Below are 17657 nucleotides of genomic sequence, written 5' to 3' on the forward strand. Positions count from 1 at the left end.
TAAATTAGGTATTGATGGGACGTATCTCAAAATACTAAGAGCTACCTATGACAAACCCACAGCCAATATCACACTGAATGGGCAAAAACTGGTAGCATTCTCTTTGAAAACTGGCATGAGACAGGGATGCCCTCTCTCACCACTCCTATTCAACATAGTGTTGGAAGTTCTGGCCAGGGCAATCAGGCAGGAGAAGGAAATAAAGGGTATTCAATTAGGAAAAGAGGAAGTCAAATTGTCCCTGTTTGCAGATGACATGATTGTATATCTAGAAAACCCCATTGTCTCAGCCCAAAACCTCCTTAAGCTGATAAGCAACTTCAGCAAAGTCTCAGGATACAAAATCAATGTACAAAAATCACAAGCATTCTTATACACCAATAACAGACAAACAGAGAGCCAAATCATGAGTGAACTCCCATTCACAATTGCTTCAAAGAGAATAAAATACCTAGGAATCCAACTTACAAGGGCTGTGAAGGACCTCTTCAAGGAGAACTACAAACCACTGCTCAGTGAAATAAAAGAGGATACAAAGAAATGGAAGAACATTCCATGCTCATGGGTAGGAAGAATCAATATCGTGAAAATGGCCATACTGCCCAAGGTCATTTATAGATTCAATGCCATCCCCATCAAGCTACCAATGACTTTATTCACAGAATTGGAAAAAACTACTTTAAAGTTCATATGAAACCAAAAAAGAGCCCGCATCGCCAAGTCAATCCTGAACCAAAAGAACAAAGCCAGAGGCATCATGCTACGTGACTTCAAACTATACTACAAGGCTACAGTAACCAAAACAGCATGGTACTGGTACCAAAACAGAGATATAGATAAATGGAACAGAACAGAGCCCTCAGAAATAACACCACACATCTACAACCATCTGATCTTTGACAAACCTGGGAAAAACAAGCAATGGGGAAAGGATTCCCTATTTAATAAATGGTGCTGGGAAAACTGGCTAGCCATATGTAGAAAGCTGAAACTGGATCTCTTCCTTACACCTTATACAAAAATTAATTCAAGATGGATTAAAGACTTAAACGTTAGACCTAAAACCATAAAAACCCTGAAACCCAAGAAAACATAGGCATTACCATTCAGGACATAGGCATGGGCAAGGACTTCATGTCTAAAACACCAAAAGCAATGGCAAGAAAAGCCAAAATTGACAAATGGGATGTAATTAAACTAAAGAGCTTCTGCACAGCAAAAGAAACTACCATCAGAGTGAACAGGCAACCTACAAAATGGGAGAAAATTTTCGCAACCCACTCATCTGACAAAGGGCTGATATCCAGAATCTACAATGAACTCAAACAAATTTACAAGAAAAAAACAAACAAGCCCATGAAAAAGTGGGCGAAGGACATGAACAGACACTTCTCAAAAGAAGACATCTATGCAGCCAAAAAACACATGAAAAAATGCTCACCATCACTGGCCATCAGAGAAATGCAAATCAAAACCACAATGAGATACCATCTCACACCAATTAGAATGGCGATCATTAAAAAGTCAGGAAACAACAGGTGCTGGAGAGGATGTGGAGAAATAGGAACACTTTTACACTGTTGGTGGGACTGTAAACCCATTCAACCATTGTGGAAGTCAGTGTGGTGATTCCTCAGGGATCTAGAACTAGAAATACCATTTGACCCAGCCATCCCATTACTGGGTATATACCCAAAGGACAATAAATCATGCTGCTATAAAGACACATGCACACGTATGTTTATTGAGGCACCATTCACAATAGCAAAGACTTGGAGCCAACCCAAATGTCCAACAATGATAGACTGGATTAAGAAAATGTGGCACATATACACCATGGAATACTATGCATCCATAAAAAATGATGAGTTCATGTCCTTTGTAGGGACATGGATGAAATTGGAAATCATCATTCTCAGAAACTATCACAAGGACAAAAAACCAAACACCGCATGTTCTCTCTCATAGGTGGGAATTGAACGATGAGAACACATGGACACAAGAAGGGGAACATCACACTCTGGGGTCTGTTGTGGGGTGGGGGGAGGGGGGAGGGATAGCATTAGGAGATATACCTAATGCTAAATGACGAGTTAATGGGTGCAGCACACCAGCATGGCACATGTATACATATGTAACTAACCTGCACATTGTGCACATGTACCCTAAAACTTAAAGTATAATAATAATAAAATAAATAAATAAATAAGTAAATAAAGTTATAAGGGTATTTATGATGAATAATGATAATATTATTCCTTCTAGGCATAGTAGGAAAAAAGTTGTATTTATATATAGCAATGCTGGCAGCTAGGACTGTGAGAGAAAGGAGTAGAAGAACTGCTGATATTAAGTGGGATTGATAGATTAATAACCCCAGAAGTGATATGGTATATGTGAATATAATATTTATGTAAACAGGGGGCATTTGGTAAACATGTTCTATCATAACTAACGAGTCAAAATCATTTATTTTGGCTTAAACTACTTACCAATTCAGTTCAGTCTAATCCTTTTTGAGTTCATTCATAAGGTAACCCTAGGATTAAAATGATAACTAGCATAAGGGATGTACTAATTATTAGTGTCAGGTTGTTTGAAGGGCTCATGGTAAGGGTAGCAGTAGGGTGATTTCTAAGTCAAATAGGAGGAATGTGATGGCTACTAGAAATGATTTTATGGAGAAAGGAATGCGGGTGGAGGATAACGAGTCAAATCCTCATTCGTAGGGGCTGGATTTTTCTGTATAAATATTAAGTTGTGGGAGCCAGAATGTAATAGCTATAAGTGACAGGGCTAGTAGGGTGTTGATTACTAGGGCTAGTGTTAGGTTAATTACTCTTTTTCAGATACTATCGAAACTAATTGATTGGAAGTCAATGGTACTGTTTATACTAAAAGAGTAAGACCCTCATCAGTAGATAGAAATATACAAGAATAGTCATACTACATCTACATAGTGTCAATATCAGGCGGTGGCTTCAAAGCCAAAATGATGGCTGGATGTAAAGTGGTATTTTAATTGGCGGAGAAGGCAGATAGTAAGGAAAGTTGATCCAATAATGATGTGAAGTCCATAAAAGCCTGTAGCTATAAAAAATGTTGGGCCATAAATTCCATCAGAAAAAGCAAAGGGAGCCTCTAAGTATTCTGAGACTTGTAGGAGGGTGAAGCAAATGCCTAAGATAATTGTGAAAAGTAGTGCTTGAATTACTTGTTTTTGATTATTTTCTATTAGGCTGTGATGGGCTCAAGTAATTGAAATGTGTTCAGGAGGGGTACTTCCAGGGGGTTGAGGGGAGAAATGCTTGTTGGAGATCAGTGTCCTCCTAATTCTGGAGCTGGGGCTAGACTAGAATGGTAGAATGCTCAAAAGAATCCAGCAAAGACAAATACTTCTGAGATAACAAATATGACTATTCCACATCGGAGGCCTTTTTGAACAGTTGTTGTATCATGGCCTGGAAATGTACTTTCTCGGATAATGTCACATCACCATTGATATATAGTCAGTGTATTGGTTAGTAGGCCCAGGGTTAAAAGAGTAATAGAGTTAAAGTGAAGTCATATAGCTAGGGCGGATGTTATTAGGAGAGCTGAGAGAGCCCCTGTTAATGGTCAAGGGCTGGGTTTGACTAAATGATAGGTGTGTGTTTGGTGGGTCATTATGTATTGTCATAGAAATAAAGGCTTACTAAAAGCGTAAAGACATAAGCTTGGATAAGGGCCACAGCAGATTGGAGCATGGTTAATAGAATTAGAATAATAAAGGTGATTGAAGCTGTGGGAAGGTTAGTAGTTGATAATACTAGTGTGGCTCCTCCAATTAAGCGCATGAGTAAGTGACTGGCTGTAATGTTGGCTGTTAGACGTACAGCTAGTGCTGTTGGTTGAATAAATAGACTAATGGTTTCGGTGAATACTGGTATAGGAATAAGTGGTATGCGTGTGCCTTGTGGTAGGAAGTGAGCTAAGGAGTTTTTAGTTTTAAAGCGGAAGCCCGTGATTACTGTGCCTGCTCATAAGGGGATTGCTGTAGCTAGATTTATTGATGGTTGGGTAGTTGGTGTAAATGAGTCTGGTAGGAGTCCAAGGAGATTGGTTAAGGCAATAAAGAGAATTAGAGATATCAGTATAAGGGATCGGGCTTGTCCTTTAATGTTACGTATAATTATTTGTTTTAGGGTAAGTTGAACTAGTCATTGTTGAATAGAAATTAATCAGTTATTGACTAGATAGTTGGAGGTTGGAAGGAGTGTGGAGGGGAACAAGATGATTAGTGCTGCTGTGGGTAACCCTAGGATTGTTGGGGCGATAAATGAGGTGAACAGATTTTTGTTCATTTTAGTTCTCAAGGGTTGTTATGTTTTTGTACTTTATTTTTGGTGAAGGGGGTGTATGGTAGATGAAATTTGATATTTTTAATTGAATAATGGAAAATAAAGTTACGATTATTGATACAATAATAGGTCATGTGGAAGTATCTAGCTGAGGCATTCACTCTAGAGAGGTATGATTTCTCTCGATCTTTAACTTAAAAGGTTAACACTGGGGTAACTACAGTGATATTATGGTGTGGATATAGATCAAGTTTCAAAAGTTTTTAATGGAACTAATTCTAGAACAATAGGTATAACACCGTGATTAGATCCACAGATTTCTGAGCATTGTCTGCAGTAGAGGCCTGGTCGTGTAGTGGTTAAGGTAAATTGGTTTAGGCGTCCAGGGACTGCATCTGTTTTTAAACCTAATGAGGGAATAGTTCATGAGTGCAGGACATCTTCAGATGAGGTTAACATGTGGATGGGAATTTCTATTGGGAGGATTGTTCGGTTATCGACTTCAAGGAGTCTACGTTCTTCTGGTTTTAGGTCTGCTGTTGGAAGCATATAAGAATCGAAGCTTAACTCTTCATAATCTGTACACTAGTAGCTTCAATACCATTGATGTCCAATTGTTTTAACGGTGAGAGAAGGCTTATTGACTTCATCTGTTATAGATAACATACGTAGGGATGGGAGGGCAGTTAAGATTAAGATGATAACAGGCAAGATAATTCAGACAGTCTCTATTTCTTGGGCATCTATGGTGCTATTGTTGGTCAGTTTTGTTGAGTATTACAGAAATAATGTATAGAACCAGGGAACTAATTAGGAAAACAATGACAAGGGTGTGGTCATGGAAGGTAAGTAGTTCTTCTATAATAGGAGATGAAGCATCTTGAAGACCTAATTGAACTGGATGGGCCATTAAGATATATACGGCTTAAACTATAACTTAACTTTGACAAAGTTATGAAATAATTTCACTAATATCTTATTGAGAAGGTCATAGAGGTTATGGGATTGGCTTGAAACCAGTCTCTGGGGGGTTCGATTCCCTCCTTTTTCACTTAGGTCTTCATGTAGGTTGGTTCTTCGAATGTGTGATGGGTTGGTGGACAGCCTTATAGTCATTCTAAGTTGGTAGATGGTTGCTCAACTATTAGAACTTTTCATTTTGAAGTGAAGGCTTCTCAGACCATGAAAATTATTAGTATTACTGCTGTTAGGGAAATAAATGAGCCTACAGATGAAATAATATTTCATGCGGTGTACGTGTCAGGATAACTGGAGTAACATCGAGGCATACCAGATAGGCCAAGGAAGTGCTGTGGGAAAAAAGTTAAATTCACACTTACAAATATAATAGCAAAGTGAGTTTTAGCATAGATTTGATTGAGTATAACCTGAAAATAGAGGGAATCAGTGAACAAAGCCTCCCATAATGGCAAATATGGTTCCTTTTGATAAGGCATAATGGAAATGGGCTACAACATAATATCTATCATGTAGTACAATATCCAGTGATGAATTGGCTAGTACGATGCCGGTTAGGCCTCCTGTTGTAAAAAGGAAAATAAATCCCAGGGCTCAGAGCATTGTGGGGGATCATTTGATACTACTGCTGTGAAGTGTAGCTAGCCAGCTAAAGACTTTGACACCAGTAGGAATAGCAATAATTATAGTAGCAGAGGTGAAATATGCTCGTGTATCTACATCTATTCCTCCTGTAAATATGTGGTGGGCCCATATGATAAACCCTAAGAAGCCAATTGATATTATGGCTCATACTATGCCCATATACCCAAATGGTTCTTTTTTTTCCAGAATAATATGTTACGATATGGGAAATTATCCGAAGCCTGGTAAGATGAGGATATACACTTCAGGGTGACCAAAGAATCAGAATAAATGCTGATATAAGATAGGATCACCTCCACTAACTGGGTCGAAAAAAGTAGTATTCAGATTGCGGTCAGTTAACGATATAGTAATGCCAGCAGCTAGGACTGGGAGAGAAAGGAGTAGAAGAACTGCTGTAATTAAGACTGATCAGATGAAGAGGGGTGTGTGATATTGGGACATGGCTGGGGGTTTATATTAATAATTGTGGTAATAAAGTTAATAGCACCTGCCTCTACTATAGCGGATGCAAATAATAGTAGGAAAGAGGGTGAGAGGAGTCAGAAGCTTCTACTATTTATGCAGGGAAATGCTATATGGGGGGGGTGAATTATCAGAGGAACTAATCAGTTGCCAAAGCCTCCAATTATAATTGGCATTACTATAAAGAAAATTATGACAAATGCATGAGCTGTAATGATGACATTATAAATTTGATCATCTCCTAAAAGAGTACCTGGTTGGCCCAGTTCAGCTTGAATAAGGAGGCTTAAATCTGGACCCACTATCCCTGCTCATGCACTGAATAGTAGATAGAATATCCCGATATCTTTATGGTTGGCTGAGAACAGTCAACAGTTGGTGAACATAAGTGAAGTGAGAAAAAGGTAAAATGGCTGAGTAAGCATTAGACTGTAATCTGAAAACAGAGGTCAAGACCTCTTTTTACCAGCCCCGAGGTGATTTTCATGTTGAATTGCAAATTCAAACAAGCAGCTTCAATCTTGCTAGGGCTTCTCCCTCCTGTCTCCTCCAATAGCAGGAGAAGTAGATTGAAGCCAGTTGATTAGGGTGTTTAGCTGTTAATTAAATTTTCGTGGGTTTAAGTCCCGTCAATCTAGTAAGGGCTTAGCTTAATTAAAGTGATTCATTTGCATTCAATTGATACAGAGTAGAATTTTGCAGTCCTTAGGTTTTTGCAGAACTTCAGTATAATGTACTGGCTAAGAGCTTTGAAGGCTCTTGGTCTTACTTAACCTACATTTCTAGATTATAAATAGTGTCAGTGGAGATATTGGTAGGAGGAAAGTAGAGAAGATGATGAGTGGGGGGAGGAATGATACGGGTTTTGTGTTTTTGAACTGTCATTTTCTTTTTATATTATTGGATGTGGGGAATATTGTCACTGAAGTGGAGTAAATTAAGCATATATAAAAATATAGGTTGAGTAAAGTTATGATGGCTATGATGGTTGGGATAATAAGACTTATTTTTTGTAAACTCTTGGATAATAATTCATTTAGGTAGGAATCCTGCTAATGGGGGTAAACATCCTAGGGATAATAAAATTGATAGGATTATAGATATTAATCATGTTAATTTGTTTCAGGTGTGAGACAGTGATAAGGTTGTGGTGCTTGAACTCAGGTTGAGTACTTGGAATGCAGTAATTGTTGGGATGAAATAGATAATTAGGGTAAAAATGGTAATGTTTAGGTTATACATGAGTACTGCTATTATTCAGTCTATATGAGTGGTTGAGGAGTAGGCTAAAATTTTACATGGTTGTGCTTGGTTGAGTCCTCCTCAACTGCCCACTAAAATAGATAGATAGGAGAATATTCGTATTTATTGATGGGAAAATTTGATTGAATTGAATTGAAATAGGGGCTAGTTTTTGTCATGTGAGGAGAAGTATGCCAGATGTTAGAGAAGTTCCTTGGGTTACTTCTGGAACTCAGAAGTGAAAGGGGGTTATTCCTAATTTTATTACTAAGGCTATTATTATTATTAGGGATGAAAACTGATTTACAGTATTTATTGTTGTTCACTGTCCGGATAACAGATTATTGGAGAGAATACCGATTATGAGGACTCTAGATGCGGTTGCCTGTATAAGGAAATATTTAGTGGCTGCTTCTGTGGAGCAGGGATTTATTTTTTAATTAAGATTGGGATGAGGGCTAGTATATTTATTTCTAAGCCTGTTCAGAGGAAAAATGAGTGTGAGGCTAGCATTGTGATAAGGGTACCTGTAGAAATAGTAAAGTAGATGATAAGCTGAGCTAATAGGTTAATTAGTACAGGAAGGATGTAACCAACATTTTTGGGGTATGGGCCTGACAGCTTATTTAGCTGACCTTACTTTAGGACGTGGTGTGATAGGTAGCACGGAGAATTTTGGATTCTCAGGGATGGGTTCAATTCCTGTAGTTCTAGAAATATGAGGATTTTAACCTCTGTTGTTTACTCTGTCAAAGTAATTCTTTTGTCAGACATATTTCTTACGTTTGGGGTGGGATGCTGGAGATTATGATGGGTACTGAGATATATCATACACAGAATGCTAGTGTAAGTGGTAGAAAGTTTTTTCATAGAAGATGTGTAAGTTAATCATAGCGGAATTGGGGATAGGCTGTTCGAATTCATAAAAATAGGGAGGTTAAGAGGAGGGTCTTGGTAATGAAATACGTAGTATAGAATTCCGGTGAATACATAGAGTATAATTGTACCTAGGAAAATTGTAGTAGTTAGGGAATTTATTATTATAATATCCATGTATTCTGCTATAAAGAAGAGGGCAAATGGACCTGTGGCATATTCGATGTTGAAACCTGAGACTAACTCTGATTCTCCTTCTGTTAGGTCAAAAGGGGCTAGGTTAGTTTCTGCTAATATAGAAATAAATAATATTATGGCTAGGGGTCATGATGGTAAGAGTAGTCAGAGGGATTCTTGTGTTGTGATAAGTATATATAAATTGAATGAGCTGCTTATCAGTAGAACTGATAATAGGCTGATGGCTAGGGTAACTTCATATGAAATTAGGTGATGGTTTGTAACACGCCGATTAGTCATAGTTTGAATAGGTTGCTCATCCTGATCATAAAATAAAGTAGATGGCTATTTTGAGGGGTTGGCTAAGGCGTAATTATCTGGGTCGCTCAGGAGGTCAGGTGAAGATAGTGCTAGCATTATTAAAAGGAGGAGGAGAAAAATTAAACCTAGGATATCTTTGATTGTATAGGAAGAGTGAAAGATGATTTTATCGAAGTGCCCCCTCTCCACTTCATGCACTCACTGCATGCCGTCTGATGCTTCAGGGTATTAGCCACAGGGCCTTTCTCACTTTCTCTTTGGATCCCAGACCCCATGAATCCTCCCAGGAGATCCCATTCCCAGAGCCTCCCTCCCAGGCATCCCCCAACTCCTGGGCTCCCCACACTCCAAGATCCTTGCTCACAGACACCCATAATCCCAGGGCTGTCATTCACAAGGGATGAGGGGCCTCAGCCTCCATGCCCCCAAAATCGCAGTGTTCCCTTTGGGGCTGTCACCTGACCCCAGTGTCCTTTAGGCCCTGGTGGTCCTGCCTCTCCCAGCTGCCCCAAATCTACTGTATTCTCCCCACGCTCCCCACATGGGTGCTGCAGAACAAGTGAAGGGCACAGATGGTCTGGGGGTTCTTGAAGATCAGGGATGCAGCCTCTGCTTCCAAGACACCTTCAGCCACACCCTACTGCCCTCAGGGACAATGTGACAGACACAGAAAGTCCAGCCTATAAGGGGAGACCCTGGTCTCTTTCCCTTGGAGGTAAGAGAGGAAGGGCTTATTGAGAGTATGGTCCAGAGCAGATACTCCTGGCCACAGAGGAGCTCCAGCTCAAAGAGGTCACAGGAAAAGTGGGGTGCAGTGAGGGGGGTGAAAGGGGTTGGAAAGTAGGGCCCTGGAGCTGCCAGTCTCCTTGACACCTGGCTCACCCTGGATCCTTGGAGATCCTGAATGTCCTGGCTCCCCCTGCAAAGAGATTGAGGTCAAAAACCTATTTGCCCCCTCAAAAAATCCTGGTGTTCCCCACATCTCATTCTTTTATGTCTCCCCAGTCAAAATTGGCAGAAAACCAACTTTCATCCCTCAGTTGAAATACTTGTCCATTCACCCCCTTCCCAGTGACCATCTCTCCAGGGGGACTCAGGTTCCCAATGCCTCCTGGGGCGCTTTGTGGGCCCTGAAGGAGGAGCAGAAATAGGCGTCATTGCTTAGGGAGGTGGGCCCATTTCTGGGGCAGAGGCCAGGATAAGTGCTCCAAGGTCACTACAGGGAGACAGTGAAGCCCTCCTGGGGAAAGGGGCTTCTTTTGGCCCCTGAGACAAGACTAGAGTTTATGGCCTGGGGAAAGGGAGGCAGAGGACCAGACACATTAATCAGGAAGACCCTAGGGACAGAGGTGGGCTGAGTCAGGAGAATGGGGGCAGGGGCTGGGGTCCTCACTGGGGTGAGGAAGGAGCTGGCTCACCCAGGCTCCCTGGGAGCATGGAGAGAGAGGACACTCATGCCACACACACCCTGTCTCTGGGGGGCCCATGGAGGCCTTCGCCCCCGATGTTCCCTATGGGGGAAACAGAGTGGGAGGAGCTGCTCCTCAGTTGTCCCCAAGGTCAGGTGGTTGAGGGAGAGCTGGGGCTCAGTGGGCAGGGGTCAGGGGGAGCCCTGCAGAGACCACTGACCTTAGCTCCAGAGTTCCCAGTGGCACCTCGAGGACCCGGCTGACCCTGTGGACCCTAGAGAGGGGAGCGTTGTTGTCAGAAAAACCCAAACCCATTTGGACCTTGAGCCCCCTGTTTCTCTCCCTTGCACTTGCCATGAGGCCCCATTCTCCTCGAGGCCCTGACTTCCTTGACAGGCCCTGGTGGGAATGGAGTGGACATCCCCCGGGGCGTGCCTCCCCACAGAGCCCCCCCCACACCCCTCCAGCCTTTCCCTCCACACCTTCTCCCTGCCCCCAGCTTCCTCAGGCTCCGTTCTCCCCACTGACTCCAGGAAAGCCAGGAAATCCCAGGAGTCCCTGGTGAGGAAGGAGAAGCGGGGAAATTGAGAAGTTATGAGAGGTCAGGCTCGGGAAGGGGCAGAGGGGGCCAGCAGAGGCCATGCAGGCAGCAGCGTGGAGACCTGGATCCTGCCACAAATGAGGTGGCCTGGGACAAACCCCTGCTGCTCTCGGCCTCTCTGTTATCTGTAGACTGGGGGCCGCTAAACACTCTTGAGGGCCCCCCACTGCTCTGCTAGTCTGTGCTCCCTGGAATCGAAGTCAGGGAAGTGAAAAGGAGGAGGGGCACACACCCGGTGTCACCCTGAGTTCCTGGCATCCGGGGTAGCCAGGCAGACCAGGAACACCCAGCTTGCCCTGTGGAGGGACAGGGAGCAATTAGGAGTGAGAGGAGGCCCAGGTGCTACTTTCTGGAGACCCCGACCCTCACATGTGAGGGCCATGCCCCATCCCCCAGTGCACCCACACACCCCAGCTCCTAGCCCCTTCTCTCCTGCCCCATGGCTGCCTTTTGCAGTCTCTCCTTCCAGAGGGCGAATTTTCCCCAACTCTAGTGCTGGGATCCTGCTTTCCTGTGCCTGCAGCCCTGTCAAGTCCTCAGGGTCACTGTGATCCAGCTGCAGCCCACCTGCCGACCTCAGTACCATCTGTCCCAGCACCCACTCCTGCTCCATCCACCAAGACCAGTCACCCTGCAGGACCCCTGCCCTTTGCCCACGTGGCACAACACCCCAACTCCCCAACCTGTCCCCTTCCTCCTGATGCTCCAGGGCTCCTCCTGCCCGGGATGCGGTGGAGCAAGGGTTGAGAGCAGCAATTCTGCAGCCAGACTGCCCTGACTCAGCCCCTGGCCTGTGCATCACTGCCCATGTGATGACCAAGCCTTTCTGTGCCTCTGGAGAGTCTCATCTGCAAAACAGGACCATCCACGCCCACCTCACAGGATGGAGAGGACACCTTAGCACAGTGCCTGCACATGGCGAGGGCTGGGGGGAGTCAGCCCTGGAGACCACAGGTCTCACTGCTGTTGGACACTCCCTTTTCGAAGCTGCCACTGCTCTGAGTCTGGGCATGTTCACTTTGCCTGGGACCTGCAGCCACTCTGTGCCTCATCTCCAATCAACTCTTCACAACAGCGGCTTTTCCTTGACTTTTCCTATAGGCTCCTCAACCCATCAGCAGCCAGAAGGTGCCGTTTATAGAGAGAGGAGCATAATTAATGCATGGCCATCTTCAATTAACTGGCTGATGTTAGCTGCGGGCACCCCCCATGCCCGCCCTGACCTAGTGCCCACATCCCTAGAGGGTCCAGGCACAGACCTCTCTTCCTGTCGTCATCTTGCCTGCGAGCCCTGGGAAGCCCAGGATCTCTAGTCAGTGCATTGTGTTCCTTTTGCTCCTTGGGACCATCCTCTCCTCTGGAACCAGGGCTCCAGCCTCACCGTGAGTGAGAGAGTGGGAGAGGTGAGTTTGGAGGCCTGGGGATGAGGTCTGGGCCCAGAGGGGAAAGGGGCACCAGTGAGGCCGAGTGGGGCTGGCGGATCCCAGGAGCTGTTGCAGGAGAGGGAGCCTGTGGGGTATAGAGAGTGTGGTGATCCAGGGCCAGCGCGATGCAGATCGTGGGTTTGCCGTCCTGCAGGGACCAGGCCCCCAAGGATGCACAGCACTGGAATTGAGGAGCCCGGGACCTCCGGGGAATGAACCGGTGCTTGGGGACTCCAGAGTGGAGAATCATTAGGACATGGAGTTGGGGCCAGTGTGGGGTCTTTACTCAGCCTGACACCTTTCACATCTATGTCACCTTTGAACCTCAGAAAGCCATCCCCTGAGAAAGGTGGAGGTGAGATGACCCCACAGATGACAGAGGGCCGGGGGCTCTAATGGAGGATTCTGAGAACATGGGTGGAAGGGTGGGATCAGGAGCTGGAGGGCAGCCAGGGGCAGGCTGAGGAGCGGCGATGGCAGGAGTGAGGTGCTGGGAAATTCTGCTCACCTTTTCATCTTATGGCCCTTCAGACCCCGATTTCCATCTGCACCCTGAAATTAGAGGATGACAGAGTGGCCAGGGGATGGAGGTGGGTTGGAAGGAGCGAGCCCCTGAGACCCCATCTCGCTCCCTTCAACACAGTCCTTTATCCCCAGCCTGGAGGTCAGTTACCTTGACACCTGGAGGTCCTGGGTATCCTAGAGGGCCCTGAGGTCCAAATGGACCCTGGAAGAAAAAGGCATTTGTTAAGGGTCCCAGGGTGTCACTGAGGGGGGCTTGGGGTGGGAGAAATAAACATCACAGTGCTAGAGTCTGGGTAGGGCTCCAGGGCACAGGAGTTTCACACCACGTGGACCGTCACTTACTCCTCCAGCATTTACTGAGCGCCTCCTGTGTGCTGGTGGGTCCTCAGCGCTGAGGCTGACCCATGGTCTGCAGTGACCGTGCTGTGCCCAGCAGGGATGGCTCCTCCCTGGCCTCCCACTGCCTGGGTGCTGGGGCTCCCCAAGCGTGCACCGTCCTGGGATCCCCCTCCCAGCCCAGTTATGCACCATACTGGGGGTGGAGGTGGCAGCAGTGCAGATGAGATCAGGGTCCCTGTGCTCTGCCCAAGGTTAGTGGGAGGGACTAGGGTGGCCATAGTTGCTAATCAGGGATTCTGAGGGGAGAGCCTGGGCAGTGTCAGATGGTGACAGCCTGGGACAGCTTCTTGTGTGCAGGGTGACAGCAGCCCCTGGGGAATGCTGGGTGGGGAAGGGTGGGGGCTGGTTCATCCTCTGTCCCAGCCTGGGGCGGGGGGACTGCAGCCTCTGTCTGTCCCCTGGTGCTGACCCCCCCAGAGAGTCCCTCTGCATCTGCAGCCCCTGTAACTCATCCCCAGTAGGGGCCCGGCTGGCCTAGGCTCTGTCTCCTGGCTCCTGAGCCTCTGGTGTAGCTGTTGCCAGGGATGCCATGTCTGTCCTTGGGGCCAACAGAACCAGGCCCAGAAGTGTCCCCACCCCACATCCCCCCAGAGCGGGTGTGCCCCTGCACAGCCCAGCCCAGCCTGTCAAGAATGGGTCCCAGCGAACAGGGGCCTCTCACCCTCATCTGCCCAGCCTTGGGGAGCCTGGGCTGGGATGGGTGTTGGGGTCCTTAGGCCTGTGGGCAGCAGACACCAGGTCCCCAGTGACCAGACTGTGGCCAGGTTGGCTGAGTGCTCACTGCAGCCTGGGCCAAGAGTGGCCCTGTCCCACTGCCATACTCACCAGACCCTGTGAGGCCGGTGGGGGGAACCTGGACAGTGCGCCTTGTCCAAGGTCCCAGGAAGGGGAGGCGGTTGATGTCCTTGAAGGAGCATAGAACATCCTCACTCTGGCCACCAGGACGGGAGCAGGGAAGCCCCCGTGTCCACAGTGCACGGCCGGGCACATGGTACTCCCTGCCCTTCCACCTGCCCCGTCATCCAGGCTTGGCCAGGGGCCTGCCCAGTGCTACTCCCCTCCCTCAAGTCCCCGACACCTGCACTGTCCTCACTGACCTGTGAGCCTGTGCCCATTCTCCACTGTGTCCCCCAGTCATGGCCATGAGAGGGACATCTGAACCACGGCAACCATTGGTGAATTTTTGTCAGCCGGGCAGCAGCTGTACCCCCAGGCCAGCTCCCAGTCGCCCACGCTGCACTTGGGGTGCTCCCGATGGGTGTCCAGCCCTGCCTGGGCCAACTCCATGCAGTGGGGTTTTCCAATTCCCTGGCCGTCTGTGGCCACAGCAGAGGGCACCTGAGACTTTAAACTGGGGACTCACCTTGGGGATCCCCTCTGTCTCTTCCCAGGTTCTAGGCACAATGCTGTCCCTCCTGCCTCCTCCTGGCTTCTGGGCCTTGGCACCCACGTCCCCCGACCCTATGCTCCCTGCTGGACCCATCGCCACCCATTCTGCCACCCCAGCGCTGCCACCTTCAGCCCACACACGTTCCTCTGACTCTGAACGCCCGAGTCCAGGGCTGGAACAGTTTCAAACATCACACCCACATCCCAGATATTAGAAAGACAAGGGAAAAGAGAAGGGGCAAACAGCTAAAATCTAGGTCACCTGAGTCTGTCCGGTTTTTCCAGAAGTCTTGTATGTTGGTATCATTCCATTGGCCACAAGGTCTCATGACTAGCTCTAGCCAGAAGGAAACTGAGAAGGCAAATCTTTAGGCTTTACAGCTTCTCCAGCAGGAGTAAAAAGAGGTTATAAATTGATTTTGTGTTGCTAATACACCGTGATGATTACCCAGATGATTTTATCTAAATAATTTTCTAACTGGACAGTATTAATATTAGTAGGTATCGTGATGAATCATGCTGTATCCCCAGGCACTCTGCCAGGTTATTTACATTCATCACTTCATGAAACTTCACTCTGACTGTATTTTGTAGACATTGGTATTATTCCCTTTATGGATCAGGAAAGTGATGGTAATTAACTTGCCTAAGGACACAGAGTTGGTAGATATCAGAGAAGGGATTAAGAACCCAGAACTATTTTACTCGAAAGTTTCTGCTACACATCCACTGCTTCTTCCAGTGTAAAGATGTAGCACTCAACTGTAATGGACATATTAACTGTGATTCATTAATGATGATTAATTAACTCTCCTGTATCCAAACAATGCCAGTTACAGTCAGAAACTCCTATAATCAGATAATAAATCAAATTTACCTACATATCCAGAATGTTTTTTTACATGATAAAATCTGACTTTAAGAAAAAATAAATTTCACCTAATGTGGAATAAAGTAGTGTAGCATTTTAAAAAATGTACCAAAGGCAATCAAATGAAACTGGTGTTATGAGCCATATTTTTGTTGGCAACTGTTATCACCCAAACACACATATTCAGAATAATTTCATCTTATTCAAAGATTCAAGATTCAAAAATATTTGTTAAAACTCATCTGAAAAACTCATCTGCAGCATGAACGTTTTCCTATTTTCCTGTAGTATCCCCACATCTAATTATTTTAAATAGCAATCTCAGTAAAATTATAAAATTAATAAAATTATTTTCTCCTACCATGCTGCAGATTCTTCCATGTTTGCACTGTAAAATCAACTAATCGAAAATTTGAAACACAGGGTTGCCTGTTACTTTTTCTGGGTCTATGAAAATATAAATTGTCATCTTTTCTTGCTGTTATTTTGCTATTCAGTGGGTACACAAATGCACATGACAAAATGAGGATCGCCTTATCTGTAAGACTGAAAATAAGACTTGTGTTTCTCCCAAGTTGTGCTTGCATTTCTCACTGGCTATCAGGTGTCCCATCCCAGCCCCTGCTGTCCGCAGGGACCCCTCTGGGCAGCTGAGTCTTGCTCATTCCAGGACCTGGCAGCTACCCTGGAAAAAAACCATTGGCAAAGCTGTGCAGGCCCTCTTTGGAGACGGGAGGGCTTTCCTGGTGCCCTGCTGGGCCGGCAGCTTCCTCACAAACACCGCACACTGCTGGGGGCAAGCTGCTGGCTTCTCCTGCCTCACACAGGGTCGCTTAGGCCTGGTCCTACCAGGTCATCATCCTTCTGGGCAGCCATCTCCAGAGTGCCTTGCCCAGCCCATGTGGCCCCCATCGCCATAGCCCCAGGTGCCACCATTGTCCTGGGTGGTCAGCTCAGTGCCACCCTCACTGGCAGCCCAACCTCATGTCCCACAGCCCAGATTTCCTGGCATTAAGCTCAGTCTCTTGCTGCTACAGGGAGCAAGAACTGTGCCAGGAAGCTGGGGGGTGAACCAGGTGGAGGAAGAGGACCCTGCATCAGAGGAGAGGTAAGGTCTGGGCATCCAGGGCCAGACTGGTCTCTGCCAGCTCCAAGGCTGACAGCATCCTGAGGGGACAGCGGGCCCCAGATGGACGGAGAAGGGGCCGCTGCAGTGATAAACCCCGGACAAACACAGGAGTGATACAATTGTAAGAATCACGAGGCCGGGCATTGTGGCTCACACCTGTAATCAGCGCTTTGGGAGGTCCAGAGAGGCAGATTGCCTGAGCTCAGTAGTGGAAACCAGCCTGTGTAAGATGGTGAAACCCCGCCTCTACTAAAATACAAAAAATCAGCTGGGCGTGGCGGCCGGCGCCTGTAATCCCAGCTACTCAGGAGGCTGAGGCACGATAAGTGCTTGAACCCAGGAGGCGGGGATTGTAGTGAGCCAAGATCGCGCCATTGCACTCCAGTCTGGACAACAAAGCGAAGCTGTGTCCAAAAAAAAGAGAAAAAGTCACGGATGATGGGGCAGCGCACATTAAAAAGGGGGATCCTGTGGCCAGAGAGCTGCTCTGGGTCCCGAGTGTGGGTAGCAGAGGGAGGCACGGCTCTCCTGCCAGGGCCGCACACTCTGCAGTGGCGCAGAGCGCCCGGGGTGCTCTGAGCGCAGGGCCCCCAGACATCGCGGGGCATCCTGCACAGCAGGGGTGCGGCCCTGACCCGAAAGCGGGGCAGGGGTGCGGAGGACAGGATCTCCGATGTCCCTGCTCCGCGGGCGCCCGCAGTGCTGAGCCGAAGCTCGGCGGGGCTGAGCTCCAGCTGGGGGCGGGTAGCTGACAGCCTCTAGGCCCGGGCTCCCTCCAGAGGCAGCGTTGCACCCTGACCCTAACTTCCGCCTGCGGCGTTCAGATGCGGAAAGCAGGGAGCCTGAACCCAAAGCTGCGATCAGAG

The 17657-nt window shown here is 46.8% G+C and overlaps 1 long non-coding RNA gene and 9 pseudogenes across 1 annotated transcript; 2 read left to right on the forward strand and 8 right to left on the reverse strand.

Annotated features, from left to right (window-relative positions):
• Positions 2495–2814, reverse strand: MTND3P18 (MT-ND3 pseudogene 18; annotated as a pseudogene).
• On the reverse strand, positions 2906–3666 carry MTCO3P18 (MT-CO3 pseudogene 18; annotated as a pseudogene).
• MTATP6P4 (MT-ATP6 pseudogene 4) lies at positions 3669–4343 on the reverse strand (annotated as a pseudogene).
• Positions 4593–5250, reverse strand: MTCO2P18 (MT-CO2 pseudogene 18; annotated as a pseudogene).
• NMTRS-TGA2-1 (nuclear-encoded mitochondrial tRNA-Ser (TGA) 2-1) lies at positions 5322–5391 on the forward strand (annotated as a pseudogene).
• MTCO1P18 (MT-CO1 pseudogene 18) lies at positions 5396–6814 on the reverse strand (annotated as a pseudogene).
• Positions 7214–8243, reverse strand: MTND2P18 (MT-ND2 pseudogene 18; annotated as a pseudogene).
• NMTRQ-TTG9-1 (nuclear-encoded mitochondrial tRNA-Gln (TTG) 9-1) lies at positions 8313–8384 on the forward strand (annotated as a pseudogene).
• On the reverse strand, positions 8453–9176 carry MTND1P26 (MT-ND1 pseudogene 26; annotated as a pseudogene).
• Positions 10675–16978, reverse strand: LOC112268425 (uncharacterized). Its single transcript, XR_002959421.1, has 4 exons — positions 15054–16978; positions 13152–13205; positions 12987–13030; positions 10675–10727 (listed from the first exon to the last, which is right to left on the reverse strand). It is a non-coding gene; the product is annotated as an uncharacterized LOC112268425 (long non-coding RNA).
• Positions 16979–17657: the final 679 nt, after the last annotated feature.

This window comes from Homo sapiens, chromosome 2 (genome assembly GCF_000001405.40).
Source record: "Homo sapiens chromosome 2, GRCh38.p14 Primary Assembly".
In the NCBI taxonomy this organism is placed as follows: domain Eukaryota; kingdom Metazoa; phylum Chordata; class Mammalia; order Primates; family Hominidae; genus Homo; species Homo sapiens.